General features: G+C 37.3%; 1 protein-coding gene across 8 annotated transcripts in view, besides 1 other annotated feature; it reads left to right on the top strand.

Moving 5' to 3' along the window:
- MIS18BP1 (MIS18 binding protein 1) overlaps positions 1 to 26,801 on the top strand; it is a 50,013-nt gene extending 23,212 nt beyond the window's left edge. For 6 of the 8 annotated variants that reach the window (NM_018353.5, XM_005267833.6, XM_047431546.1 and 3 more), the window contains 9 exons: positions 2,177 to 2,328; positions 3,155 to 3,248; positions 5,245 to 6,073; positions 11,537 to 11,709; positions 12,812 to 12,972; positions 19,463 to 19,611; positions 23,821 to 23,908; positions 25,538 to 25,592; positions 25,779 to 26,801. In NM_018353.5, coding sequence (NP_060823.3) covers positions 2,177 to 2,328; positions 3,155 to 3,248; positions 5,245 to 6,073; positions 11,537 to 11,709; positions 12,812 to 12,972; positions 19,463 to 19,611; positions 23,821 to 23,908; positions 25,538 to 25,592; positions 25,779 to 25,882 — 1,805 coding nt within the window. In that variant the 3' untranslated portion in view covers positions 25,883 to 26,801. Of the gene's footprint in view, positions 1 to 2,176; positions 2,329 to 3,154; positions 3,249 to 5,244; positions 6,074 to 11,536; positions 11,710 to 12,811; positions 12,973 to 19,462; positions 19,612 to 23,820; positions 23,909 to 25,537; positions 25,593 to 25,778 lie in introns of those variants that run through there. The other 2 variants (XM_047431547.1, XM_047431548.1) reach the window with 2 other exon arrangements.
- Positions 7,052 to 7,101: an enhancer, noted in NCBI's record as "active region_8302". NCBI's record gives its function as "activates an Ori minimal core promoter by ATAC-STARR-seq in GM12878 lymphoblastoid cells {active_cell/tissue: GM12878}" and the evidence as "EXISTENCE:reporter gene assay evidence [ECO:0000049][PMID:35858748]".

Here is a 27,922-nt window from a genome sequence, read left to right as displayed (position 1 = left end):
GCAGAGAAAGGAATACGTTAAATATGTAGATGACTGCTTCCCCAGAGCTAGCAAAAAGTCACTTACCATTGCCCTAGTTCCTTCTCAACCCTTCCTCTTTTTATCAAAAGTCATCCTATTTTCTCTAAATTAGGCATATTGCCTATTTTTATTGCTGGAGCATCTTGAGTATGCTGGAACCTTGGGGCTTCGGCACCTGCTCTCTACTTTTTTACTCCTAAAACAAGAAAATCCTTGACAGTATATCTCACTTTTAATCATTTGTTGGTCTTTAGTCTTGGTTCTTACCTCTTCCTGTACCCCATTTCACTTAGAGCCAGCACTTATTAGGGATTTGATCTTAATTGCAAATATTATCAGTAAAGTGTTTAAGAAAGCTATTGACAAGAGAAATGAATACAAATTTAAAAGACTAAAGTTTGGTAAACTATTTTACATACCAGCTGTGTCCATAGGAAAATCACTCAGCAATTTTTTTTTTTTTTTTGAGACAGGGTCTTGCTCTGTCTCCCAGGCTGGAATATAGTGGTGCAATCATGGCTCACTGCAGCCTCAACCTCCTTGGTTCAAGCAATCCTCCCACCTCAGCCTCCAAAGTAGCTGGGACTACAGGCATACAGTACTGCACTTGGCTTGTTTTTTATTTCTTGTAGAGATGGGATCCTACTATGTTGCCAGGCTGGTCTCCTACTCCTGGCCTCAAGCAGTCCTCCCACCTTGGCCTCCCAAAGTGCTGGGATTATAGACATGAAACATGGCACCTGGTGTCAACATTTTTAAAGTGCTTTCCATGAACCCTGGTCTATTAAGTTTTAGGAACTTAGAGATGAATAAGGCATGATTCCCCCCACCCCCACCCCCAGGGATCTTGGTTTAGGGGCAAATATTAATATATTCTGTTATGATTGCATCATTTTTCTAGTGTAATTCATTAGATCTTTTCTTAATGAAACTGTTAGACACTATCTTCATATCACGTAAGTTATTTTGAGTGGTGGTTGGGGCTGTTATTAATTTTATTATTATCATTGCACTTTGCATGAAAAAAACAAAACCACATCTAACATTATATAGCTAAGGTTATGTAAAGGTACCAACCCATGTTAATTTAAGATAATGTAATTTTATGTATGTGTTTTAATGATTTGCCTAAAAAGTACTTGTGTATCATAGTATTGCTCTTAAAGCACTTTATCTCTGTTATTACACTTACCAGAGTATATGATAAATGACCTATCATAATAGAAGCTTCCTTCATTATATGGTAATATTTTCAAGAGCAAGGACTAGTCAGTACATCTTTAAAGAATAGCTTCTAGAAAAATAACAAAATGTTTTTATACTTTTTATGAATCTGTTTTAACTTACCTAGAATTCCAGCTTAGTAACTGTTTGTTGAGCATATATTATATACTGTATAATTTAGTTTTGCTCAAAATTTTAATTACAGAAATTTAGTTATACATTGGAGTACATAAACTAGTTGAAACATAATTCTACATACATGAAGAAATAGAAGAAGAACAGTTATTAGCTTTCTATTTAGTTGATGTGCAGTTAGGATGAACAGGAATTTTTATTTACAAAATGGATTAACCTTACTATTCTGTCTTTAGATGTGACAAAGGAGATCCAAAACAGATGGTCGTGAATAATATGGCTGTCTAGGCTTTTTAAATTTTTTTTGAAGGAAAAAAAGTGATTCAAACAAAATGTAGCGTAGCGCTATACAGAGTGATTCTTTCCAAATAAAATTGCTTTATATCCTAGTCAAATTATAACAAATATTTATGACAGAGGGATTAGACAGATTATCATTATTATTTCTGAGACAGGGTGTTGCTCTGTCACCCAGGCTGGAGTACAGTGGCACAATCACGGCTCACTGCAGCCTCGACCTCCCTGGCTCAAGTGATCCTCCCACCTCAGGCTCCCAAGTATCTGGGACCATAGGCTTGCACCAACCTTTTATTCTTTGTAGAATCAGTGTATCACTATTTTGCCTAGGCTAGTCTTGAACTCCTGGGCTCAAGCAATCCTCCTCCCTCGGCCTCCCAGAGTGCTGGGATTACAGGCGTGAGCCACCACACCTAGCGTCAAAGTTAATTCTTCATGTAGAAAAGCAGCTTCTCTTTTATATAACCATTTATTGAAATCTCCATCTTTGTATTCATAGAACTGAAGAGTAATAAGCACAGTGAGTCACCAGGAGCTACAGAATTAAACATGTGCCACAGTAATTGCCAAAATAAACCAACATTAAGGTTCCCAGATGACCAAGTAAATAATACTATTCAAAATGGAGGAGGAGATGACTTATCTAATCAGGTAAGGCTTTATTGTACACTGTATAGTTCAAGTTGATATTTAGAAGGGTGATTTACTACTGAAAAGGTTTGGGACCATATCAGGGACGTGAGTTCTGTTTTTTTTTTTTTTTTCTTTTGAGATGGAGTCTCCCTCTATTGCCCAGGCTGGAGTGCAGTGGCGTGATCTCGGCTTATTGCACCCTCTGCCTCCTGGGTTCAAGTGATTCTCCTGCCTCAACCTCCACCTCCTGGGTTCGAGTGATTCTCCTGCCTCAGCTTCCCGAGTAGCTGGGACTACAGGCATGCACCACCACGCCTGGCTAATTTTTGTATTTTTAGTAGTAACGGGGTTTCACCATATTGGCCAGGCTGGTCTCGAACTCCTGACCTTGTGATTCACCCACCTCTGCCTCCCAAAGTGCTGGGATTACAGTCGTGAGCCACTGCGCCCAGCCAAGAGTTCTGTTTTTCAAGTATCAGCTTTTCATTTACTTGGGGACTGAATGTCTTGATATTTATTTTCCCTGTCTCTCAATGAAAAAATGCAGGCAACAATAAAAGTTTTAGCTTTTAGAGTAAAGCTTAAATAAAGCATATTTTTAAAAGCACTTGAAAAACCACAAAGTATTAAATTAATGTAGAAAATATGTAGGATAATGGATTCCCAGATGTTGCTCGTAGTGCTCAAGGTCTGGCAAGTAAGTTTCGGAATGTGTCCACTAATGAAATTTGCGGAACTGTAAGTACCTAGAAATTTGTATGCTTGATGCATACTATGAAAATGCTTCAGATCATGTTTTGGTAGTAGTTTTAAAATAAAACCTAGGTATCTTTTTGTTTTGAAGGAATTAATTGGAAAAAAAGAATATAAAATGTCTTCAAAGAAACTAAAAATTGGTGAAAGAACAAATGAAAGGATAATAAAAAGTCAGAAGCAAGGTAATATATCTTTAATGGTTTTTTAATCATAAGCAGAAAGCTACTATGTGAAATGTTTTTAATATGATAAAAGTGATCTTGTAAATTTCCTCATGTAAAATGGCAAATTATTTAATGTTTTTAAATGTTTGGTTTTGTTATTTTTACATAAGATGATTTTCATAATAAAATAGCCCTTTTAAAAACCACCTATACTTACAGGTTTGCCTTCTTTAATCTGGGTACTAAAATATTTGTTTAGATCACAAAACTATATATCATTTAACATATGCTTACAGGAATGTGTAAAGAGTGAATCCTTTTATGAATTTAGTACAATAATTTAGTTTTAAGTGTGGATTTTCAGAGTGATTTAATTGGAATCCTGCATGCCATAATTTAGAGGCTTTCGTCTAAATGTTAGCAAGTTTACAATTTCATGTTGAGCTAAATCCATTAGCTTTATAGCATTTTTTTGTGTTTTATTTCCTCTTATAAGTGAAAAGAAGTGAAAGTGAAGAACATTTATTTGTTTGAAGAAGATAGGAAAGCAGTGCTACTTATACTTCCGAGTTCATATTCGGTTTAAGTATCCAAGATAGCTGGATCTTTATTAAATAATTTATTAAAATTAACAAATACTCTGAATGGAAATATTGTTCAAAATTATAATGTTGAAAATTTTCAAATTCCCAGGTAAACATTTGAATTGGATTTATATGAGGAGTTAGAAGAAAATACTTTTCTCATAATTTGAAGATATATGATGCCAGTGGAAAATCTTGTAGACACTTTCTAAATTATTTTGATTATTACCTTTTTCCACGGATTGTAATTTAGAGGCTTCTTTTCTCCCCAGCATTCAATATTATCTATCAGTCTCATTCTGTCAGTCATCTTGTAAACAATGGCACATAATATGTGGAGGTGGTTGTAATATGTTTCTATGACAGTGGGATGATTTGCAGTTTATATGTATTTCTAATTACAGTTGGATAGTTTCAGTTAGTTTGACTTCTCATTACTTAGGTTTTGAATTGGTGAATTGTTCTCATTTTAATTTGCTTTCTTTAGTGACAAGATATAAGATTCTCAGGTTGTTCTCTTTTGCTTGTTTTGTACTTCATGGTGTTTGGGGGGATTCATTTTGAGTGTGTTTCTATGACCACCATTGGCAATGAAAGTGGAACCATGCAGATGGAGTTCCATGTCCTCCTAACTAGCACAGCTCATATAATACTTAGTAAGGTTTCAGTGACTACTGGTTTTCTTATATCTTCTGAATATTTTACCTCCAGGGCTTTGATTTAACAAGTATTTACTTATTGCCTACTGTATATGTGAAAGGCTCTGTACTAACTCCAGCAAAAAAAAAAATCAAACCATACAGATAAAGTTCTAACCATTAATTATTTTTTCCAGTCTGATTGAAAGACAAGTGTGCAATTATAATACATGTCTCACTGTCAAACATGGCATTATTTAAAGTATTCTGGAAACTTGAAGGAGAGCTTTCATTCAGTGTAGGGAATGTGTACAAGTTTGTACACTAGGTGGGTTAGAGAATAAAATCGAAGCAGGTAGTGATTTTGTTTATAGATGAATGAAGAACATCTTCAAAGCAGAGTGGACAACATTATTAAAAGTGGAGAACCAAGAAAATCTGAGAAATAGCAAGTGGTGTGGTTCTGAACATAGAATATAGTTGAGATTTTGACAACAGTGAGAGATTGGAACTATGTGGAAGGCCAGGCAGAGGAGCTTATTTATATGTCTACTAAAAGACTGTGAGAAGTCACTGTCAGGTTTGTATAAACAATAGTATATGTTTACAGTTGAAGGGGCAGTGGTCTGAATAGACCTGGGCTTCAGAAAGATTAATATGACAGGTGGGTATACAGTGTAGCTCGTGGATAAAAATAGTATCTTTTATTTGTGAAAATATATTTTCTGTGCTTATATTTGTTTATAGCTAATTTGAGATTTTGGTCTTTGGTTTTGTCTTATGAAATTAAAGAGACAACTGAAGAATTGGATGTATCCATTGATATTCTAACCTCAAGGGAACAGTTTTTCTCAGATGAAGAAAGAAAATACATGGCCATCAATCAGAAGAAAGCTTATATTTTAGTAACACCACTTAAATCTAGAAAAGTGATAGAGCAAAGATGCATGAGGTATAATCTGTCCGCTGGCACCATCAAAGCAGTAACAGATTTTGTAATACCAGAGTGTCAAAAAAAAAGTCCCATCAGCAAGTCCATGGGGACTTTAGAAAATACATTTGAAGGTCATAAAAGTAAAAACAAGGAAGATTGCGATGAACGTGACTTACTTACTGTCAACCGGAAAATAAAAATATCTAACCTTGAAAAGGAACAAATGCTCACCTCTGACTTTAAGAAAAATACCAGACTATTACCAAAATTGAAGAAAATAGAAAATCAGGTAGCTATGTCATTTTATAAGCATCAGTCCTCACCAGATTTGTCAAGTGAAGAAAGTGAAACAGAAAAGGAAATTAAAAGGAAAGCTGAAGTTAAGAAAACCAAAGCAGGAAACACCAAAGAAGCAGTGGTTCACCTGAGAAAGAGCACAAGAAACACAAGTAATATTCCAGTGATTTTGGAACCTGAAACTGAAGAAAGTGAAAATGAATTTTATATCAAACAAAAGAAAGCTAGACCTTCCGTCAAAGAAACTCTTCAGAAGTCTGGTGTTAGGAAAGAGTTTCCAATTACTGAGGCAGTAGGATCTGATAAGACAAATAGGCATCCCTTAGAATGCTTACCTGGTTTAATTCAGGATAAGGAATGGAATGAGAAGGAGTTACAGAAACTTCATTGGTAAGTAGTTAGATTTCATTCCGAAATATCTACAGAGCAGCCACAAGACAGTTAAAGACATAAAAATAGCAATAAGGGGTTAACATGGAAGATGTCATTAAAAAAAAGGGAGAAATTATAATTTGCACAGGGAATGGAGATAGACTACACATAACTCCTAGTGGTATTTTTGTGGTCATCTCTAATACGAGGAAAGTACGAGGAAAGCCTAAGTATGAGGAAAGTAAAAGTGACCTTTTCATTCCCATGTAATATTTCAAGATAGCCAAATAGTACTCTCTCACGTAGCTTCATATTTTAAGAAATGCATTTTTTTGTTTTTTGTTTTGTTTTGTTTTGATTGAGACGGAGTCTCGCCCTGCTGCCCCGTCTGGAGTGCAATGCCACAATCCCGGTTACTGCAACCTCTGCCTCCCGGGTTCAAGCGATTCTCCTGCCTCAGCCTCCTGAGTAGCTGGGACTACAGGCGCACGCTGCCACGCCTGGCTAATTTTTATATTTTTAGTAGAGATGAGGTTTCACCATGTTGGTCAGGCTGGTCTTGAACTCCTGACCTAATGATCCGCCCACCTTGGCTTCCCAAAGTGCTGGGATTATAGGCATAAGCCACCGTGCCCGGCCTAACAAGTGTTATAAATAGTAAAGTTTGGTGCCCCACAAGTGAGACTCAAGGATACTAGAAACCTAGAAGTGGGCACTGAAGGGTAACAAAGAGAGTTTAAAGAGGAGCTCTCCAGTTCTGGGTTGAGGAGCAGAAAGGGGGACTTCTGACACTCAGAAACAGTAGAGGAAATCCCCAGTGTTTGGTTTGGTTTGTTTTTGTTTTGTTTTGTTTTGTTTTGTTTTGTTTTTGTCTTTTCTCTTAACTCAGTCCCCATGCAATCCTGCAGGGGCTACAGTCACAGCATCAGCTGGGGCTGAGATATATCTAAAACTCTGAGAGATGAGAACCTTCTCTACAATTAGGAATGGTTGCCTCAAAGTAGTGGGGCAAGTACCTGTTGCTTCTGTTCTCTTTCTGTTGTCTGTTGCTTGGTACTGGACAAAAATTCAGTTGTGTGAGGCATACAGCAGAGCAGAGTAATAAAAGCCCCAGCTTTCTGGCCAGAGCACTGACAAGGGAAACTCCAGGGAACCAGAAATCGCGGAAAGAGAGGAAGTAGGAAAAGCAACCCCATAAAGTTGTTTATGAACTTCTATGCCACCCAGGAGTTGTACATATGTGGACATGGTCCTAAAGAGCATATAAAAGACTGAGAACTGAACTAAACAGTAGACCACACCCAGTTTCTAGGCTAGCTACTCAGTGTCCCACACACAGGAAGATCCTAACAGCACTGCAGAGCTTTGAAAAATGAAACTGACATTGAAACAACAATGATAGTAGACTGAACGTATAGCTTGGGATACCACCAGGTTGATGACCTGCTAAAATAAAAATATTAACATTTCACTTGAAGCAGTAAAATATTGATTCTAAGTAGACTGTTGAAGTTAAGTATATTTAATGTCATCCCTAGAGCAACTTCTAAAAAAACTATACAAAGAAATAATTTCAAACATAAATTAAAATACTGGAAAATCAAATAGCCCAAAAGAAGGCAAAGAAGAAGAGAAGTGGAGGATTTTTTTACATGGAACAAGCAGAAAACAAATAATAAAATTATTGACCTAAATCCAACATAATTAAATTAAATGGTCTAAACATACCAATTAAAAGACATATTGTCAGAATGAATTTAAAAACATGATCTAACTATATGCTGTATACAACAAACTCACTTTAAATATAATGATATAGGTAGGTTAAAAGGATAGAAAAATACCGTCTAAACACAAATCAAAAGAAAGCTTGAGTGGCTATATTAATATCTGTCAAAATAGACTTTAGTAGGAAGAAAATAACCAGGAATAAAGAAAGACATTACAAATGATAGAAGGGTCAGTCACCAGGAAGGCATGAAATTCCTAAGTGTGTATGCACCTGACAATAAAACCTCAAAATACATGAGTTAAAAACTGACAAGTGAAAGCAGCGGACTAAACTACAAGGATAGTCAAATCCACAGTTATAGGAAACCACACTGCTCCTCTCTTGGTATTTGATAGAACTGACTGAAAATTAGCAGGGATATAGAACTGAACAACACCATCAGTCATTCGTATGATTCACATTTACAGAACATTCCACCCAATAATAAGAAAAAGAATAGGTTATTTCCAAGGATAGGTTGATCATTCATCAAGATAGATCATAAAACCTCTTAACAGATTTAAAATAGCTGAAATCATACAAAGCATATTCTCTGATGATAATTGAATTAAACTACAAATCAATAAAATAAAGATAGGAAAATTTCCAAGTGGTTGAAAATTAAATAACTTATTAATACGTATAACTAATCTGTGGGTCAAAGAAGAAGACTTAAAGGAAAGTAGAAAATATTCTTTTATTTTATTTTATTTTATTTATTTATTTTTGAGACGGAGTCTTGCTCTGTCGCCCAGGCTGGAGTGAAGTGGCGCGATCTCTGCTCACTGCAAGCTCCACCTCCCAGGTTCACACCATTCTCCTGCCTCAGCCTCCCGAGTAGCTGGGACTACAGGCGCCCGCGACCACGCCGGCTAATTTTTTGTATTTTCAGTAGAGACGGGGTTTCACCGTGTTAGCCAGGATGGTCTCGATCTCCTGACCTCGTGATCCTCCCGCCTTGGCCTCCCAAAGTGCTGGGATTACAGGCTTGAGCCACCGCGCCCGGCTTCTTTTATTTTTTTTCTTTTTGGAGACAGAGTCTCACTCTGTCACCCAGGCTAGAGTGCAGTGGTACGATCTCAGCTCACTGCAACCTCCGCCTCCTGGGTTTAAGCAATTCTCCTGCCTCAGCCTCCCAAGTAGCTGGGATTACAGGTGTGTGCCACCATATCCAGCTAGTTTTTGTATTTTTAGTGGAGTTAAGGTTTCACCATGTTGGCCAGGCTGGTCTCGAACTCCTGACCTCAAGTGATTCACCTGCCTTGGCCTCCCAAAATGCTAGGATTACAGGTGTGAGCCACCAGCCCGGCCAGATATTCTTAACTGAACAAAAATGAAAATATATCAAAATTTGCAGCATGGGCCTAGGAGTTCATAAACAACTTTAAAGGGTTGCTATGCCAAGCTCCTCCCTCTCCCTGATTTCTGTCGTACTTTCTACATAAACAAATTAGGGTGCATTCTTTCAGTGGATTACTAAGCAGTAAAAAGGAAGAACTATTGATACATACAACAACCTGGTTGAATTTCAAAGGCATATTGAGTGAAAAAAGCCAACTCAAAGGGTTATACACTATATGATTCCATTTATATGACATTCTGGAAAAGTGTGCTACACACTTTTAAATGACCAGATTTCATGAGAACTCCATCAGAAGGATGGTACCAAGAGGGATGTTGCTAAATCATTCATGAGGAATCTACCTCCGTTAACCAATCACCTCCCCCTAGGCCCCACTTCCAATACTGGGAATTACATTTTGATATGAGTCTTGGGTAGGGACACATATTTAAACTATATCAATAAATAAGAATTATTTAAGCCAAGGATTCAAGACAAATGGACCTTAGAATAGCATACACAAAAGTATAAAGAAAGAGGGCATATTTGGAAATACTGAAAGAATGGGTGTGGGGTATGTGCCTGTAGTGCCAACCACTAAGGAGGCGGAGTCAGGGGGATCGCCTGAGCCCAGAAGTTGGAGGCCACATTGAGCTATGATAATGCCCGGCACTCCTGCATGGGTGACAGATTGAGACCCTGTCTCTTTAAAAAAAAAAGAAAGGTAAATAAAGAAAGCTAGAATGAATGGAATACTGAAAGTTGACCAAAGAGCAGTACAAGATGAGACTAGAGAGTTGGGCAAGGAACAATACAGCGTTACACTAAGGATTTGGGGTTTTATGCTAATAATGAAACAAGTTTTAAACATGGTGTGATATGTTTAAGTTTGTCTTTTTAAATTATCTGGAATAACCTAGAGGAGATGTGTTAAGTACTAATTTCTTATTAAATACATTATTATTTGTGTTATGTAATAGTTATTTTAGACAGTCGTAGATTTAGAAATTAGCCACACACACAAATAGAGAAGCTTGAGTTCCCAAGTCCTTCTAGTTGTTCACTTTAGAACACTGTGGAATGATTAATTATGTAAAAGAATTCATTAACAAGTATTTAATGCTCATAAGTATTATGCTTTTCTGCATGGAATAATATGCTGTGGTCAGCTGGTAGCTGTTCACAAGAGCTGATTGTTAAATTTTGGAGAATTTTACAAATTGAGTGTTAAAGTCATTAAAAAATTATATAAACTTAAATTATTTAAAACAAAGATAATGCTTAAAACTCATTACTTCCTAATTATTTTCCATTTTATTATATATATATGCTCTTGAGACTCTTCACCTCTGTGGTATGGTGGAAATACTATGTAATTGTGTGCTATCACACGTGTTTTATCAACTCCACAGTCAGTGACATGTTGGTAGCTTGACATCAACTACAATGGGAGTATTTACCCTATGAAAGTCATCAGACTTTATAAATCAGGACTGTTTAACCCCGAGAGAACTGATTAAAAACTTTCCCACATACTGCTACATGAAACCTATATCTATTAATTGGAATCCAAGTAGAAATAAAAATATTTTGCCAAAGAAACAGATTAAAAATAAAGACTTGGTGTAGTTGAAATGACATTGTTAATATCACTTTTAGGCTAATTGATGAGTTACATAGATGTTTTCTGGCTAAATTGTCAATCTAACCACAATGCATGAAATCTTTATGGGGAGAGTGGGGGTGGTAATGTGTATACCAGGTTCTAAATCATTTACAAAGGAACTTGTAGAATGCAACTCAGATGTTAAATTAGGGACTTCCTTATAGTTTTCTCTATTTCAATTTTCATTTTCCTTAATTAAGAGAGCATATATCTAAAATACTGAGTTCTACAAAGTATAGTAGAATGAAAGCAAGCATAACACTTTTTAATAGCTTATAACCTAGACTGTATAAGAGAACTAAGAGCTTATTGTCCAATATACTTAGCACCAATAAGATTTAAGGTAACAGTGAAGAAAATTTGGTCATGCCAAAATCTCCTAAAAAACCGTATCATCGATTAGTTGGACTTAGAAAAAAAAATGTTGAAAGGCTGAGGGTCATTTTTCAGGCTTAATAAAACACATCAGAATAGTTAGAAGACATCTACTAGATAGGTAAAATTACATCTTCATATTTTAAGCACTAGAGTTAAGTTATTGAGGGGAAGGAATAATATCTTTCTTAATTGTTATCCAGAATGATTTTGATAAAACTGATTCCTTCATCTCAGTAAATCTCATCAATTCAGTGTTATGCTTTTAAGAGGTTATTGTCATTGGTTTGAATTTCTTATTCTTTAATTGGTTTTGATCTTCCATAGTGCTTTTGCATCTCTTCCAAAGCACAAACCTGGTTTCTGGTCAGAGGTAGCTGCGGCTGTAGGTTCTCGATCTCCTGAAGAATGCCAGAGGAAATACATGGAAAATCCCAGAGGAAAAGGATCCCAGAAACATGTCACTAAGAAGAAGCCAGCCAATTCCAAAGGCCAAAATGGTAACCTTCGTAGTAAATAGTTTTTTTCCTAGTACTCAGTGTTGATTTCTGATCACTGAAATCAGATATATTTTATATTTATCCATGAATATTAATAGGTATTTTCTTAAAATTTTAAAGCTAGAGAGAATTTCAGAAATCATCTGTTTAATTTTTAAGTCTTACCTGGGTCTCTGCTTCCATCAGTAGTAGTTTAGTAGCCTTGTGCTTCGAGTTTTAGGAATTCTGCAGTTAGATCCAGAGATTTCAATATCTGAATTATTGTTCTAAGGGTTTAATTAAAGACCACTTGGGTCAGATCCCCAAGTAATTTATGAGAAAGCTCAGAAAATATTCAGTTTTCATAGTCCCATGATTACATACTCCTGTTCATGAGTACTAGTAAAAGGTTGATTATGCCAGAGAATTTCTATAATAAGCATTAGCGAGAACCCAATACCCTGTCATAATTCAGTAAGGTTTATATATTTTGGCAAAATCAATAAATTAGGCATTCAGCAAGAGGCAATGTAGAGGCAGTCATTCTTGCAGTGTAAAGATCTTTTTGGCCAGGCACGGTGGCTCATGCCTGTAATCCCAGCACTTTGGGAGGCTGAGGTGGACCGATTACTTGAGCTCACAAGTTCGAGACCAGCCTGGACAACATGGTGAAACCCCATCTCTACAAAAAAAAAAAGAGAAGATCTTTTTAACCTCACCCTGCCTAATCTTAGCCTCTTCATGAGTATCCTATGGGCTAATCATATTGCACAAATCCCAGATCCCAGTGTAGAAATAATCATTTGTTCTATAGGAGACTTGTAAAATAACAGGCTAAGTTTTCTTTCTTTTTTTGCTTTATCTATATCTGTATTTTTTTAGAGATGGGGTCTCACTATATTGCCCAGGCAGTTCTTGAACTCCTGGGCTCAAGCATTCCTCCTGCCTTGGCCTCCCGAAGTGCTGGGTTACAGGGATGAGCCACTGAGCCTGGCCAAGGCTGAGTTTTTTGGTTTTTTTTTAACATGAATGCACAATTTAGACTTTGCAAAGGTTGTTAACTTTATAGAGCAGTTACTATAAATAACCAAATCCTTATCAAAATGGTTTGCTGACTCTTAAGGCAAGAGAGGTGATGCTGATCAGAAACAAACTATTAAGATAACTGCCAAAGTGGGAACTCTTAAAAGGAAGCAACAGATGAGGGAATTTCTGGAACAGTTGCCAAAAGATGACCATGATGATTTTTTCAGTACAACACCTTTACAGCATCAAAGAATACTGGTAAGAGGCATGAAATCATTGTTTTCCTTATCTGTATTGACTTTTGTATCTTTCATTTTTATGTATGGTAGTGTTCATCACTAATATTTAGGCCAAGGATCAGTAGCCTCCGTAGACATGATCATAGTCTTATGGCAAACAATGTGCTGATATATGCCATTCTTACTAGTTTCTAGAGTCTGCACTTCAGTTGGTTCAAAGGTAATGTTTGTAGAACCAAACAGTAAAGTAAACCTAGAATTAGGTGAAACATATATATTTAAAGTTTAATATACTACCTAGCAAACTTTTTTTAAAGTTGATAAAAGATACTGTGTAGTAATTGAAAGGAGGGATTAAGTGATAGTAGCACAGTATTAAAAGATTTGAATGTATGAAAGAATTTTTGTCATATGAAGAGTAGAATAACTAAAAATTTCAGTGATTGGAGTAAAATATTCACAGCAAATACAACCAAGCTAGTAGTATCTGTGATATGAACAACTCATTCAAATGTTACTGGAATAACAAAAAGTACCAAGATCACAGGAAAAGTGTGAATAAGAAGAAATTCAAAAGGCTGAATAAACACTTGGGGAAGTGGTCATTTTAGTTAGTAATCCAAGAAAGTAAAGTAAATTATATTTATGTACTTTCTGAATTATAGAATCTTTTAAAAAAATAAGTTAAAATATCCACTGCTAACAGAAGCAATGGTGATACTGATACAGTCATACATCAGTGGGCATACAAATTGAATTGTACCTTTTAGTAAGAAAGCATTATGGCAATATATTATAAAAGCCATAAAGATTTATTCTATTCTTGAGAGTTTATCCTAAGAAATCCAAAAGCCCAAAATCTTTGCAAGATACTTATTGCAGTTTTATCTTCATAGCAAAAAACTGGAAACAATCTGTATATCCAATAAAGATGTTTTTCATAAACACAGTGAAATACAATACAAATATTAAATGCACATTTAAGACTTTCTAGAATCTAAATATAAATGTTAAGAATATTAAGATTAGCTGAAGGACAGGTGCGGTGGCTCACACCTATAATCCCAGCACTTTGGGAGGCCGAGGCGGGCAGATCACGAGGTCAGGAGATCAAGACCATCCTGGCCAACACGGTGAAAGCTCGTCTCTACTAAAAAGACAGAAAATTAGCTAGGCATGGTGGCGGCCGCCTGTAGTCCCAGCTACTCGGGAGGCTGAGGCAGGAGAATAGCATGAACCCAGGAGGCAGAGCTTGCAGTGAGCTGAGATGGTGCCACAGCACTCCAGCCTGGGCCAGAGTGTGAGACTCCATCTCAAAAAAAAAAAAAGCCGGGTGCAGTGGCTCACACCTGTAATCCCAACACTTTGGGAGGCCAAGAAGAGTGGATCATGAGGTCAGGAGATCGAGACCATTCTGGCCAACATGGTGAAACCCTGTCTCTACTAAAAATACAAAAATTAGATGGGTGTGGTGGCATGCACCTATAATCCCAGCTACTTGGGAGGCTGAGGCAGGAGAATCACTTGAACCCCATAGGCAGAGGTTGCAGCCACTGCACTCCAGCCTGGCGACAGCAAGACTCCATCTCAAAAAGAGAAAAAAAAATTATTAAGATTAAAGTAATGCAGAAATGTGTGGATAACAGACAATTGGACTATTGAGTATAAAAATTCAAACAGTTGTGTTAGTGAGCTAGACATAAGGGTAATTTTTTCATCTACCAATTTCTTGTCATAAAATTATCTTCAATTTAAAAAGGCTACACAATGCTTTATAAAGTTTAATAACATCATTAACTGGGCCCCCTTTTTGCTTACACTGATTATAGAGGGAAGTCTTTTAAGAGAGCCACCAGAGGCCCTGACAATGTTTTCTTCAAAACGCTATGGTCCACTAGGGGTTGTACCCTTTATCCCACCATCATTTCAGGTTCTATATATGTATATTTTAGCCTAAATGCAATAGTAGCATCATAAAGAACAGAACTGCCGGGCATGGTGGCTCACGCCTGTAATCCCAGCACTTTGGGAGGCCAAGGTGGGCAGATCACCTGAGATCAGGAGTTTGCGACCAGTCTGGCCAACATGGTGAAACCCCGTCTCTACTAAAAATACAAAAATTAGCTGGCATGGTGGTGGGCACCTGTAATCCCAGCTACTGGGGATGCTGAGGTGAGATAATCGCTTGAACCCAGGAGTGGGAGGTTGCAGTGAGCTGAGAAGGCACCATTGCACTCCAGCCTGGGCAACAAGAGCGAAACTCCATCTCAAAAAAATAAAAATGTAAAGAACAGAACTAAAGTAGAAATAGACAGCAACAAATTATATCATTTTCTGTGACATAGTTTGAAGGGGTGGCCTGCCCCTCCACACCTGTGGGCATTTCTCGACAGGTGGGACGACAGACTGGGAAAAGAAAGAGACACAGAGACAAAGTATAGAGAAACAAAAGTGGGCCCAGGGGACCGGCACTCAGCATACAAGGCCCCCTGCTGAGGCCCCGGGCGGCGCCCCTGGTCTCTGAGTTCCCTCAGTATTTATTGATCATTATCTCTACCATCTCAGAGAGGGGGATATGGCAGGACAGTAGGGTAATAGTGGGGAGAGGGTCAGCAGGAAAACATGTAAACAAAGGTCTCTGTGTCATAAACAAGGTTAAGAAAAGGTGCTGTGCCTTGATGTGCACATATAGTGCATTAAAGAGCAGTATTGCCACTAGCATGTCTCACCTCCAGCCTTAAGGCGGTTTTCTCCTATCTCAGTAAATAGAACATACAGTCGGGTTTTACACTGAGATATTCTATTGCCCAGGGACGAGCAGGAGACAGATACCTTCCTCTTATCTCAACTGCAAAGAGGACTTCCTATTTTACTAATTCTCCTCAAAACAGACCCTTTATGGGTGTGGGGCTGGGGGACAGTAAGGTCTTTCCCTTCCCACGAGGCCATATCTCAGGCTATCACATGGGGAGAAACCTTGGACAATACCTGGTTTTCCTAGGCAGAGGTCCCTGTGGCCTTCTGCAGTGTATTGTGTCCCTGGGTACTTGAGATTAGAGAATGGTGATGACTTTTAACAAGCATACTGCCTTCAAGCACTTTTTTAGCAAAGCACATTCTGCATAGCCCTAAATCCATTAAACCTTGAGTCAACACAGCACATGTCTCTGTGAGCACAGGATTGGGGCTAAGGTTACAGATTAACAGCATCTCAAGGCAGAAGAATTTTTTAGTACAGAACAAAATGAAATCTCTTATGTCTACTTCTCTCTGCATAGACACAGTAACAGTCTGATCTCTCTTTCTTTTCCCCACAATGGTTAACACTGCTTGGGTTCCTACTAACGGCTAAGCATAATAGTAAGTGAATTAGAGTTTTGTTTTGTTCTGTTGATACGAAGGGTCAGATTTGTTTGTATATTGTCTATGGCTACTTTCATGCTACGGTGCAGAGTTGAGTAGTTAGGACAGAGACTGGACCACAAAACCTAAAATATTCCCTATCTGATTATTTACAGAAAACATTTGCTGACCTCTGGTCTACATAACCTTCAGAAATAGGTGTTATTATCTCTGTTTTACACAAGAGAAATTAAGTCTTTTAAAGGCTAAGGCTCTGTCCTTGTCCTTGTTCCTTGACCTTAAAATTTCTAACAGACATAGCCTAAACCTGTGCAACCTGCAGACCCCCATCATTCTTGTTTATCTTCTGTCAGGGAGAGCCTCAGCACCTTAGACCTATACAGTGTAGGATGAATCCCTCCTGTTACTGGCAGCAAATCCATACGGGTCTGCAGAAACCACAATTCTTACCTCCTCAGAAGAAACAATTCTGGCCGGGTGTGCTGGCTTATGCCTGTAGTCCCAGCACTTTGGGAGGCCGAGGTAGGAGGATCCCTTGAGCCTAGGAGCTTAAGACCAGCCTGGGCAATATAGGGAGACTCCGTCTCCATTTTTTGTTAAATAATACTTATAAAAATTTTTTAAAAAGAGAATTTGACCAAGGAAACATAAGGCAGAAGGAGAAACTGAGGCAAGTTTTAGTGCAGGAATGAAAGTTTATTAAAACACTTTAAAGCAGGAAGCAAAGGAAAGAAAGTACTCTCAGAAGAGGGCCAAGCAGGTGACTTGAAGCATGGTTTAACTTTGTGACTTGGGGTTTTATATGTTGGCATGCTTCTGGGGGTCTTGTGTTCCTTCTCCCCGGATTCTAACCTTGGGGCGGGCTGTCTGCATGCCCAGTGGCGTGCTAGCACTTGGGAGGGGAGCAAGTTACAGTGTGTTTACTGGATTTATACACAGGCTCACTTGAGGCTTTCTCCCTTACCAGTCGGATGTCCTTAGGAGGTCATATACCAGTTAAACTCCTCCATTTTTCCTCTTAATGCACATGCTTGAGCCCACTTGCCCAGTTTCTGAGATCTTATGAGGAAGCTGCTGATCACCAATTTTAGGTGTTTCTGTTTATTGAGAGATTGCTTTTCCCTGGTGCTGGCTGCGATTAAGTATTATTTTAGAGACACAGTTAACAACCACCTGACCATCACAGGATGGTCGCCTAACAACATTCCTGGTGGGGGGTGGGGAGGCCCTCTCATTCCTTGCTTATCCCTGACTAGTTAACCTGCTGTAACATTCCCACTTCTGCAAGTCACCAGTCAAGGTTAGCTATTTCCAGCTGGAGGAAGCTAACGGTGTTTATGGCCCAGGGGAGTTTAGGCTGTAGATGGCTTGTTTCCAATTTAGTCAGTGGGATGGAGCTGGGAGGAATAGAAAAGATGGAGGAAGAGAGAGAGAGATTAGGGCCCATACACACATTAAGGTTACACACCTACACTGCAAACAAATGGTGCACTGCCTCCAAACAAATCCCCAGTTAAGAGGGCTGGGTAGAGTTCCAAACTCCTTGCCTCAGTTTCAAACGGCCCTCCCCAGGGGACAGTCCAATGTGAGCAAAGCCCTGAGGGTGCCACAAATACAAATGCAAAAAAATGGCCAAATGGTGACACCAACAGCTAAGTCTAAACAGAGCAGAGCCCCAGCAACACCCTAAAAGAGGCAGAGGGAGGCTGGGTGCACATCAGCAGCTCACCTGGTTCCAACATTTGTCGACTTCTTCAAAATGTCACATTCTCTTTGTATCAGTGAAGCTTTGGAAGCAGCAGATGCTGTGACAGAAATAGAAAAGGAGGTTCTGCAAGACAAAGGCACCTTGGCTATTGCTGGAAGCTCCCCTAATGTTCTTACTACAGGGTCAGCTAGCCATGAGCAGCTGGCACTCACAGGTGGCTCCATGGCCCTATCCAACAGAAGATCAGATAGGTGTGTCTGGAGCCTCCTGTGAATACACAGGGCTCCCTGTATGGGCCACCAAAAATTGTAACCAGCAATAGGGGTCCAACTACTTGCCGCTTGTAAAAAGAAGCCAATATAACAAGAGCAAGGTGTGATAGAGTTTTATTATCTGTGCCAGCAAAGGGAAGTGTGGGTGAAATTCCAGAAATTCCAGTCTTCAATTTGTGGAGTGAACATAGGAGTTTTTAAAGAGAGAATGATTTGGAATGCAGGAGAGGAGGGGGTTAGGAGGTGTTAGGTGGCTCAATCTGCTCCAACAGCTTATCTTGAAATATTATTCCATTTGGTGAAGGGGCCAGCACCATCCTGGGCTCAACCAGGTTACAAATTAATTGTAGTAAATCTTGCAGTAAATTTCTAGATGGGAGTGAGTTTTGGCCTTGACTGGGGAGAGAATTCTGGAGGTATCCAGTTTATGCCAGGATCCGGCCCCTGAAGCTTCTAAGGAAATACATGACCAGATAAATGAGCATGGTGTGCACTTAAAAAGCGTCTAGGTAAAAACATGTGCATAAGGCATGGGAGCATAGAATGGGTAAAGAAACGGAGGTTCACATTTTGAGGCTGTATTTCAAGATGAATGGAAACACATGTAGTTTATCTCAAAGTTATATCTTAAAATTGGGGAGAAAGAAAGAAAAAAGTTTTAAAACATGGTTTGAAGCCACGCTACTCGGTTACAGGCTGAATAAAGAGGGTGACAAATCCAGTTTCTCAGAAACATTTAATAGAGACTTTTGAGCAGAAGCCATCTCTTGGGTGGCCTCAAGATGGTGGATTTGGGCACTGTTATCCCCCCAGACCCAGGGTTTATATACCATAGGGAATTTGCCTAAGGGCTGTATTTATGGTAAGTATGTGTTTACGATAACACCAAGGTTGTTTTGACCTAAGGACAAGATTTCCAGTAAGTATATGGAGGTAGAAATCTTAGAGGCATTTCCAGATCCAGGTTTAATCAGAAGTCAGCATGGTGAATTAGCATCTAAAATGGAGTTCCTCTAGCCTCTACTCCTCTACGTACTACTGTTTTTAATTATCTAACTTGGAAAGTTACAAGAAGAACCAACTTATCAGTCCTCCAAAACTATTTTGTGATAATGAGAAAATACCTTTTATGGGGTGCCTGCTGATAATAAATACTTGTTTTCTAGTTGCCAAGTTTCCAGGACAGTGAAGATGATGATGATATTCTGCCAAATATGGACAAAAATCCAACAACTCCATCATCAGTTATCTTTCCATTGGTAAAAACTCCTCAATGTCAGCATGTCAGTCCTGGCATGCTAGGTTCTATAAATAGGTAAATATTCATGCATATGATATGTTAATTCTCTGCATCAGAGTAGTGAGGAACATTTAAACATTTCATGAGGACCATAGATGCCAGTAATGGGAAGAGGCATTATTTAAAAAATCAAGAATGTGTAGTTTCTAGAAGTTAAGGATGGACAAGTTCATCAAATCGGGGTGCTATTCAATAAACAGCATTGTGATATAACCCACATTTACTTCTGGATCAATTCGAAATGGATCAAGGTTTTACTTGTAAAAAACTTTAAAAAAAAAAAACTAAAGAAACCTTGGAGAATTATTTTATAATACCAGATTAGTGATGGTCTTTCTAACTATACTATAAAACCTACAAGCCATTAATGAAAAGATGAATAAAGTCAACTGTGTAAAAATGTTTAACAAATTTTACCTGGTACCAACCACTACAAACAAAAGACAACCTGAGAAAAGAATATATGCAACTTGTCACAGGCAAAAGGCTAATTTCCGTAATATATACAGCATTCCTACAAACTAACAAGGAATGCATTGTTAATTTTTGTGCATTGCTAGTGAGAAGGTAAAGTAGTGCGATCTTTGCAGCAACAATTTGTAAGTATCAAAATTATAAATGCACATGCCCTTTGACTTAGGAATTTTACTTATAGAATTGTGAATGTACAGCTTATTCATTGTAGCATTGTTTAAATGGCAGTACCTCAAAAATCTATCAGTAGGGACTAATTAAATGAACTCTGGTCCATTATATAGTCATAGAAATTAATGAAGAGCCAGGCACAGTGGCTGAAGCCTGTAATCCCAGCACTTTGGGAGGATCACTTGAGCCCAGGAGTTCAAGACCAGCATGGGCAACATAGGAAGACCCCATTTCTACAAAAAAAACCCAAAAATGTTAGCAGGATGCAGTGGGGCAAGCCTGTGGCCCTAGCTACTAGGGAGGCTGATGTAGAAGGATTGCTTGAGTCCCAGAGGTGTAGGCTGCAGTGAGCTGTGATTGCAACAATTGCACTCCATCCTGGGCAACAGAGTGAGATCCTGTCTCAAAAAAAAAAGAAATTAATGAAGATATTTTTTATTGCTATTATGATAAAATGCCTAAGATATATTAAATGAAACAAAGGTAGATGCAGTGAATAATATACTACTGTTTGTGTAAATAGAAGCTATATGTATGTATGCATATATGTATATACTTGTGTGTGTGTGTGTGTGTATAATTGCTTTTATTAGATTAAGTCTTTATAAAAGGATGCATAAGAAACCAAAACATTGGTGATCCTTAGGGAGAACTAAGGTAGCTGGAGGAAGGAGAGGGGGGCTTTTGAATTTTGAACCATGTGAATACAAGAACAATTTGAAACATATAAATAAATAAAATTAAGAAAAAAGTAGGGGTGACTAACAATAAAATGTCACCAAAAAAAGATGGAAAATAGTAAGAATGAGGCCTGAAAATAGGCTATTCCATTTGGCAAGTAAGAGGCCATTGCTGATCTTAGAGCAATTTCCACAGAATGAGAGGCAGAAGCAAGATAATAGTGACTGAGAAAAAAACTATTCAGTACTCTCAGGAAGCTTGCTAAATTGCTAAAATTTTAATTTGCACTTATTGGATAAAAATATAATTTTCCTAGGCATCTAAAAATTATTTTTAGTATTTAGTGCAGGGGAAAGCATACTGAGAATACTATTTTGGACAAATTTTTTGATAAGCACTTTGACCAGTTCATCAAAAGCCTTAAAATATTCATCCGTGGCCGGGCGCGGTAGCTCACACCTGTAATCCCAGCACTTTGGGAGGCTGAGGCCGACGGATCACAAGGTCAGAAGTTCGAGACCAGTCTGGCCAACATAGTGAAACCCCATCTCTACTAAAAATACAAAAAATTAGCCGGATGTGGTGGTGTGTGTCTGTAATCCTAGCTACTCAGAAGGCTGAGGCAGGAGAATCACCTGAACCCGGGAGGCAGAGGTTGCAGTGAGCCGAGATCACGCCATTGCACTCCAGCCTGGGTGACAGTGCGAGACTCCGTCTCCAAAAAAAAAAAAAAAAAAACAACTTCATCCTTTTGGCCGTTGAATTTTATTAGACACTTTAAGGAAATATGAGATTTGGAACACAGATGTTCATCATAAAACATAATACTGAAAGTTTGAGAATGACCAAAACATCCAAAAATAAGGAAAGTTATAAATTAAGATTTATCCATATAATGGAATATGAAACAAATCATGTCTTCAAGAATTTAATGACAGAAAAATGTCCAGTGGATAGTAGTTTTCAAAAGCTAGGAAAACTACATTCAGCATGATCCCAATTTTATGTAACAAATTCGTAAGGAAGGAAATTTCTTAACTTACACATCACCAGCCATTCTTTCTAGGTTGTAGAATGACACCAGTGTGGGTTGTGGGTTTTTGTTTTTTGTTTTGGGGGATATTTTCTGTCCATTTATGTCACTTTTACAATTAAAGAAACACGATAGATTCACTTATGTTATGAATCTATATTGTCTGAAACTTTTTTCTTAAAAAAATGATTTTCTTAGGCTTCTTCACTCTCTCTGACTTTACTAGCTCTAGTAATTGACGTACTTTTCATAACAGTTTTAAGTAATCAAACAGTTATATCACTTCAGAAGTGAAAAACTCTTTGTCTTCAAAGACATCTCTTTGATAATAGACTTACCAGTTGCTGATCCTGAACAACTGGCTAGGCCTGTTCATTTGTTTTTTGTTTGTTTGTGAGATGGAGTTGCTCAGGTTGGAGAGCAGTGGCACAATCTCGGCTCACTACCGCCTCCATCTACCAGGTTCAAGCAATTCTCATGCCTCAGCCTCCCAAGTAGCAGGGATTACAGGCGCATGCCACCGTGCCTGGCTAATTTTTGTATTTTTAGCAGAGATGGGGTTTCACCATGTTGGCCAGGCTGGTCTTGAACTCCTGACTTCAGGTAATCCGCCAGCCTCAGCCTCCCAAAGTGCTGGGATCACACCTGTTCATTTGTTAAGCAATTTGCTAAAAACTGACGAGGTTTATTCATTGCTATACAGCAGTGTTTGATTCAGATAAATATCTTAATAGAGTCACATTTCTTCATGTCATGCCTTTAAGGTTGTTCCCAAATAGTCATAAAGAACAGAGGATACTCAGGTATGTAAGATCTTAGAGCCAAGAGAGAGTATGGAAATGGATGTTCAGCTGGTATTTACTGTCATAAGTGGGATTAGGAATTGTGGGTTTAGGGAATTAAAAACAACCAACAATTCTACTTGGCTTTTAATCTCTTCAGTTATGAGTGAAGCATATTTGCTTGTAAGGGAAGAGATAAGGTAAAGGAAATGAAATAAAGAAAAAAAATTTGGTGGTTGGTATGGGGAATTCAAGAAAGATAAAATTTTGTAGAAATAAAAGGCTTGATGAGCTGGATTAGAAACCCAGCACAGTTGGAAAAATTGACAGTTTTCAATCACCAGGCATATCTTTAAAGTGAATAAACTGAGATTCAATTAGGACAGGGAAGGAAGTGAACAGGAGAGATAATGGTATAGCAAAAGGGAGTCCAAGGAGAAGAAGTCTCAGTGGGAGTTTTGGAAAACCAAGAGAGGCAGCAAGATACCGGAAAGAGCGTAGACGGTACAATGAACGGTAAGCAAAGCATAATTTCCCAAAATAGTCTTGATCAGTATTTCCTGTAAAATGTTTGATTTAAGCATTTTGTCCATCTCCATAGGCACATTTTATTGTCCTCTTTAAAATACAGAATGTACTTTTTAAAGATGGAAATACGTTTGAGGTCAGGCGTGGTGGCTCACGACTGTCATCCCAACACTTTGGGAGGCCCAGGAGGGCAGATTGCTTGATGAGCTCAGTAGTTTGAAACCAGCCTGGGCAATGTGGTGAAACCCTGTCTCTTAAGAAAAATACAAAGATTAGCCAGGCATGATGGCACGTGCCTGTAGTCCAAGCTACTTGGGAGGCTGAGTTGGGAGGATCACTTGAGCCCAGGAGGTTGAGGCTGCAGTGAGCCATTATCATGTTACTGCACTCCAGCCTGGGCGACAGAGTGAGACCCTGTTTCAAAAAAAGAAATACATTTGAAATTAATTTAGGCAATTGTTGTTCAACCTGTGGTTAAAAGTATGACAGTTAACTTAAAATTATTAGGTTGACTTAAAAATATTGTTGACTTAAAATTATTTCGTATTCAAACAGGAATGACTGTGATAAATATGTTTTTCGTATGCAAAAATATCATAAAAGTAATGGTGGTATTGTCTGGGGCAACATCAAGAAAAAATTAGTAAGTATTTTTCTTTATCCAATACATATCTATGAAACAACTTTAATATGTGATAAACTGTGGTAGTTGTAAGTCATGTAACAGTCCCTGTCCCTGAGGTGATTATAATGTAACAAGTTACAATAATGAAGCCATGAATGAGGTAAGCACATAAGTACTGTAGGATTACAGATGGCATCACATTGACTGAAACATTGGAGCAAGGGGAAAATGGCTAAAAACTTTGATTTTTGGGAAATGAAGGGTGGGAAAAATATACACAGAGGTCTGGGAAGGATATTTCAGGCAAAACACAAAAACACAAAACACAAAAACAATCCTGTTCAAGGATTGAAGAATAATTCAGACTGAGTCACAATTCTCATAAAGTAAGAAATTTCATCAAATTCTATGTAGCTTTAAAATGGCTTCAGGTGTTTTTCAGATTTAGCTACTTAATTTTATTTTTTTACTTTTTATTTTTTTACATTCTAACATTTAAAATCCAACTACAGAAAAATTTTTAACTGAAAGATGCCTTAATAGAATGATCTATATCCCTTAGAGAAAAGATTAGGACAGTCCTTTATCCCCTTGAATTACTTTTTAAATTTTTAATTTTCTGATTTTAATTGCAATAACTGATTATCATATATAAGTACTAGGATTCTGGAAAAAGTATTTCATCTCAAATTTCCTCTAAGTAGCTAATCTTCGAGAATGGTAACTTATGGGAACCCCCTTGATTCCCTTGCTTTATGACACTGAGCAAGTTACTTGAGCTTTCTAATACCATTTTATTCATGTGTGGTATGACAATGGGGATCATGATTATATTGATTTATGTTACCAAATGATTTTGAGGTCTAAATGATATAATGCAGTGTTTTACCTCATCTCAGAAAAAAATACATTTATATCACAGTCTGTGAGCATGAATTTGTATCTCAAAAATTTCTTAAAACAGTACTTACTCTAAGGGCTACTATATTTTCTGTTCTGTTACTTTTTATTTTTAAAAGATTTTTAAGGATTGCCAGCCATGGCCAATAGTTTGATAAGCATTGTAATGTGTGTGAGCATGTACTTCAAACTTGCCATTTACTTTACCATTTTAGCCAAGAATTTCAAGTACAGAGAATTAAAATTCTGCTGGTATAAAACATTGTACTGTTATAATAACAGACTGTAGGTAAAAGTAATACAGTAATTAGTATTCTGTATAGTAATTACTATACTGTAATAGTACAGTATAGTATTGTAATTATAATTACTATATATAATCATGATAAATTGTGTTTATATTTTAAGTTTACCAAACCAGTATATTCATTACTTAATTACTTAGCACATTTTGGCAACTTTTGGAGGCCCATAGACTATCCTTTAACTGCTATAGCATTAGTTTATAATAATTTCTTAGAGGAGTGTTTGCCAGCACTGGGAAACAACATTGAGTAAGTCATGGTTCTTGCCCTGGATAAACCCAAAAGAGAATTATGCATTTCACAGATAATTATAATGTGATTAAATGTTGTTATAGGCATATGTTCAAAGTAATCTGGGGATAAGCATGCTTAATTTTGTCTAGATTTGAGGTAGACTTCACCAGGAGGTACCATTTAGCTATTAATAGTAACTCTTTTATAGGTTGAAACTGATTTCTCAACTCCAACACCAAGAAGGAAAACCCCATTTAACACAGGTAATACACTTACAGCTTTCTTTTGTGGCTCAGTTCTATTATAAGGTAGGTTCTTTATTTAAATGGTATTAAAATTAATTGCTCTCAAGTGGACAGACTTAGCATTTTATTCCTTATAGTTGTTTTCAGTTTTATTGAAAGTACTTTTAGAAATTTATTATCTTTTTATTAAACTTCTCTTTACAGACTTAGGAGAAAACTCTGGTATTGGAAAACTTTTCACTAATGCTGTGGAATCTTTAGATGAAGAAGAGAAAGATTATTATTTTTCGAACTCTGATTCTGCATAGTAAAATGAGAAAATATGATTCCTGGGATTTTTACCATAAAGCAGACAGTGTTTGTATTTTCAACTGGAGTACATGTATTTTCTTTGTAAAGTAGCTTCCTATGAAAATGTGGACTTTTTTGAAGGTTTCATATGTTTGTGTTCAAAGTAAAATATCCTCATTGCTGCAGCTTACTAAAAATGTAAAGAAAATTGTTTTTGCTCGTGTAGATATCTGTAAATTTGTTTTTGCATATTAAAATATATATAGATAATTTTTTAATAAGCATCCAAGTCTGTTTACTTTAAGAAAACCATTTCCCAAACAGATTTTTTTTTATTTCAAGAAAATTTTGCTACCATTTAAGTAAGAGAAGGTGAGAAGGATGACAGAGGTTGTATTGGTAGCTATTGAATTCATGAAAACTTTTAAGTTAGCATTTGTTAGCAGTTATTATCCAAGCCAGAGTAGGATTTGTTACCAGTTGTTATCCAAACCTAATGTTTAAATTACACATTGTTGAAATTAAATTACACATTGTTGACATGCTTCTCTCCTGATTGTTTTTATTTTAAACTTGTGATAGGCATATCTATGAAACCTTTGTAAATTTAGTTTATTGCTTTACCATTATTTTACTAGGTAAAATTAGAGAACAGATTTTGTTCTCTAATTTTTAAGCCTTATTTACATATGCAGAAACAGCTTAAATATTTTGACTAGATTAGACAAACAGTTAATAGATCCACCATTAGGAATCAATATATTATGTCATAATAAACATCCTTTTTCTTTCACTGAAATTTCTTTTAGAAATAAACTTATTTTTGCTTGTTATGTTTTGAAACTTGACATAGGATATTTTCCCTCTGGCTACACATTCACCTACCCTTGTTCTCTATTTAGATTATTCAAATAAAGTTAGTTTGCTTTTATAGTATTTGTTTCTTGTTTTTTGTTTGTTACTAATTACTGGATGATAGAAATAAAAACAAATCATGACTGGTCCTGTTTAAGTTTCCTCAAAAAAAAAAAAAATGATTAATAACATTTTCTTGTTTCTTAAGTGTTTTAGTCAGAGCAGGCATGGTGTCATGTATCTGTAGTCTCAACTACCTGGGAGGCTGAGGAAGGAGGATAGCTTGAGCCCAGGAGTTCAAGGCTGAACTGTGCTATGATCATGCCTGCAACTGGCCACTGCACCCTAGCCTGGGTAACAGAGACTCCTTTTAAAATAAATAAATAAATAAAATAAAATAGTAATAATCAGCAGTTATATAATTATAGGACTTACGGAAACACTGTAAAAAGAACAGTGCAATTGGACTAAGATAATTCTTTCTTTAAACTACCATGATTATTTCTGCCATAAAGACCCTTGGTGGATATAGAATGGATCAAAAGAAAGGGTTATTTTGGAGTGGCCAAAAAAAATGCCGTTGCAGAACTTGAGTTGCCAATATTTGATCTAATGCTATACTGCTTGAAGTTAATGGATAGTGTTTTAGGAGTTAAGAAAGTGGTTAAATCCCTTAACAAAAAGTAAAAAGGTAATTGAAATGGCATAAACTTGAGTTTGACCCCTACTGCCCATATATCCGTATCAGAACTTCAGCGCCTTCCCTATACTAAGGTATCTCACCGGCCAGGTACCTGGCTTGTCCTATTTCTATCAGGTCATAAGATGAACTAATGATAAGGTTTAAGGTAAGTAACCCCCAAAGGAAACTTAAAAGTGGAAAAGAAAAAAGACCTTAAGGACTTAAATAATAAGATGGATAATGAATGGTTAATGGCTACCAATGAGGATATAGGAGGAGGCTATTGCAAGCCTAAATATGGATAGAGCTCTCCATACAGCAAGCATAAATAAATGAAATCCTCTAGGTTATGTCTGTAACACCATGTTAATTTATGTACTTTTTTTTGTCTGACGGGTGCACACACAGCTGAGTCTGAGCAGGTGGTGGTATCTCTGTGTGAGGTTGTTGAGGGACTGCATGATTCTGGCATGCAGCTGGGGCAAAGCACCACCAGATGTCCCTACCCACAGGCCCTGCT

This window comes from Homo sapiens, chromosome 14 (assembly GCF_000001405.40).
Source record: "Homo sapiens chromosome 14, GRCh38.p14 Primary Assembly".
Lineage (NCBI taxonomy): Eukaryota > Metazoa > Chordata > Mammalia > Primates > Hominidae > Homo > Homo sapiens.
This window is presented reverse-complemented; position numbering and strand designations above follow the sequence as displayed.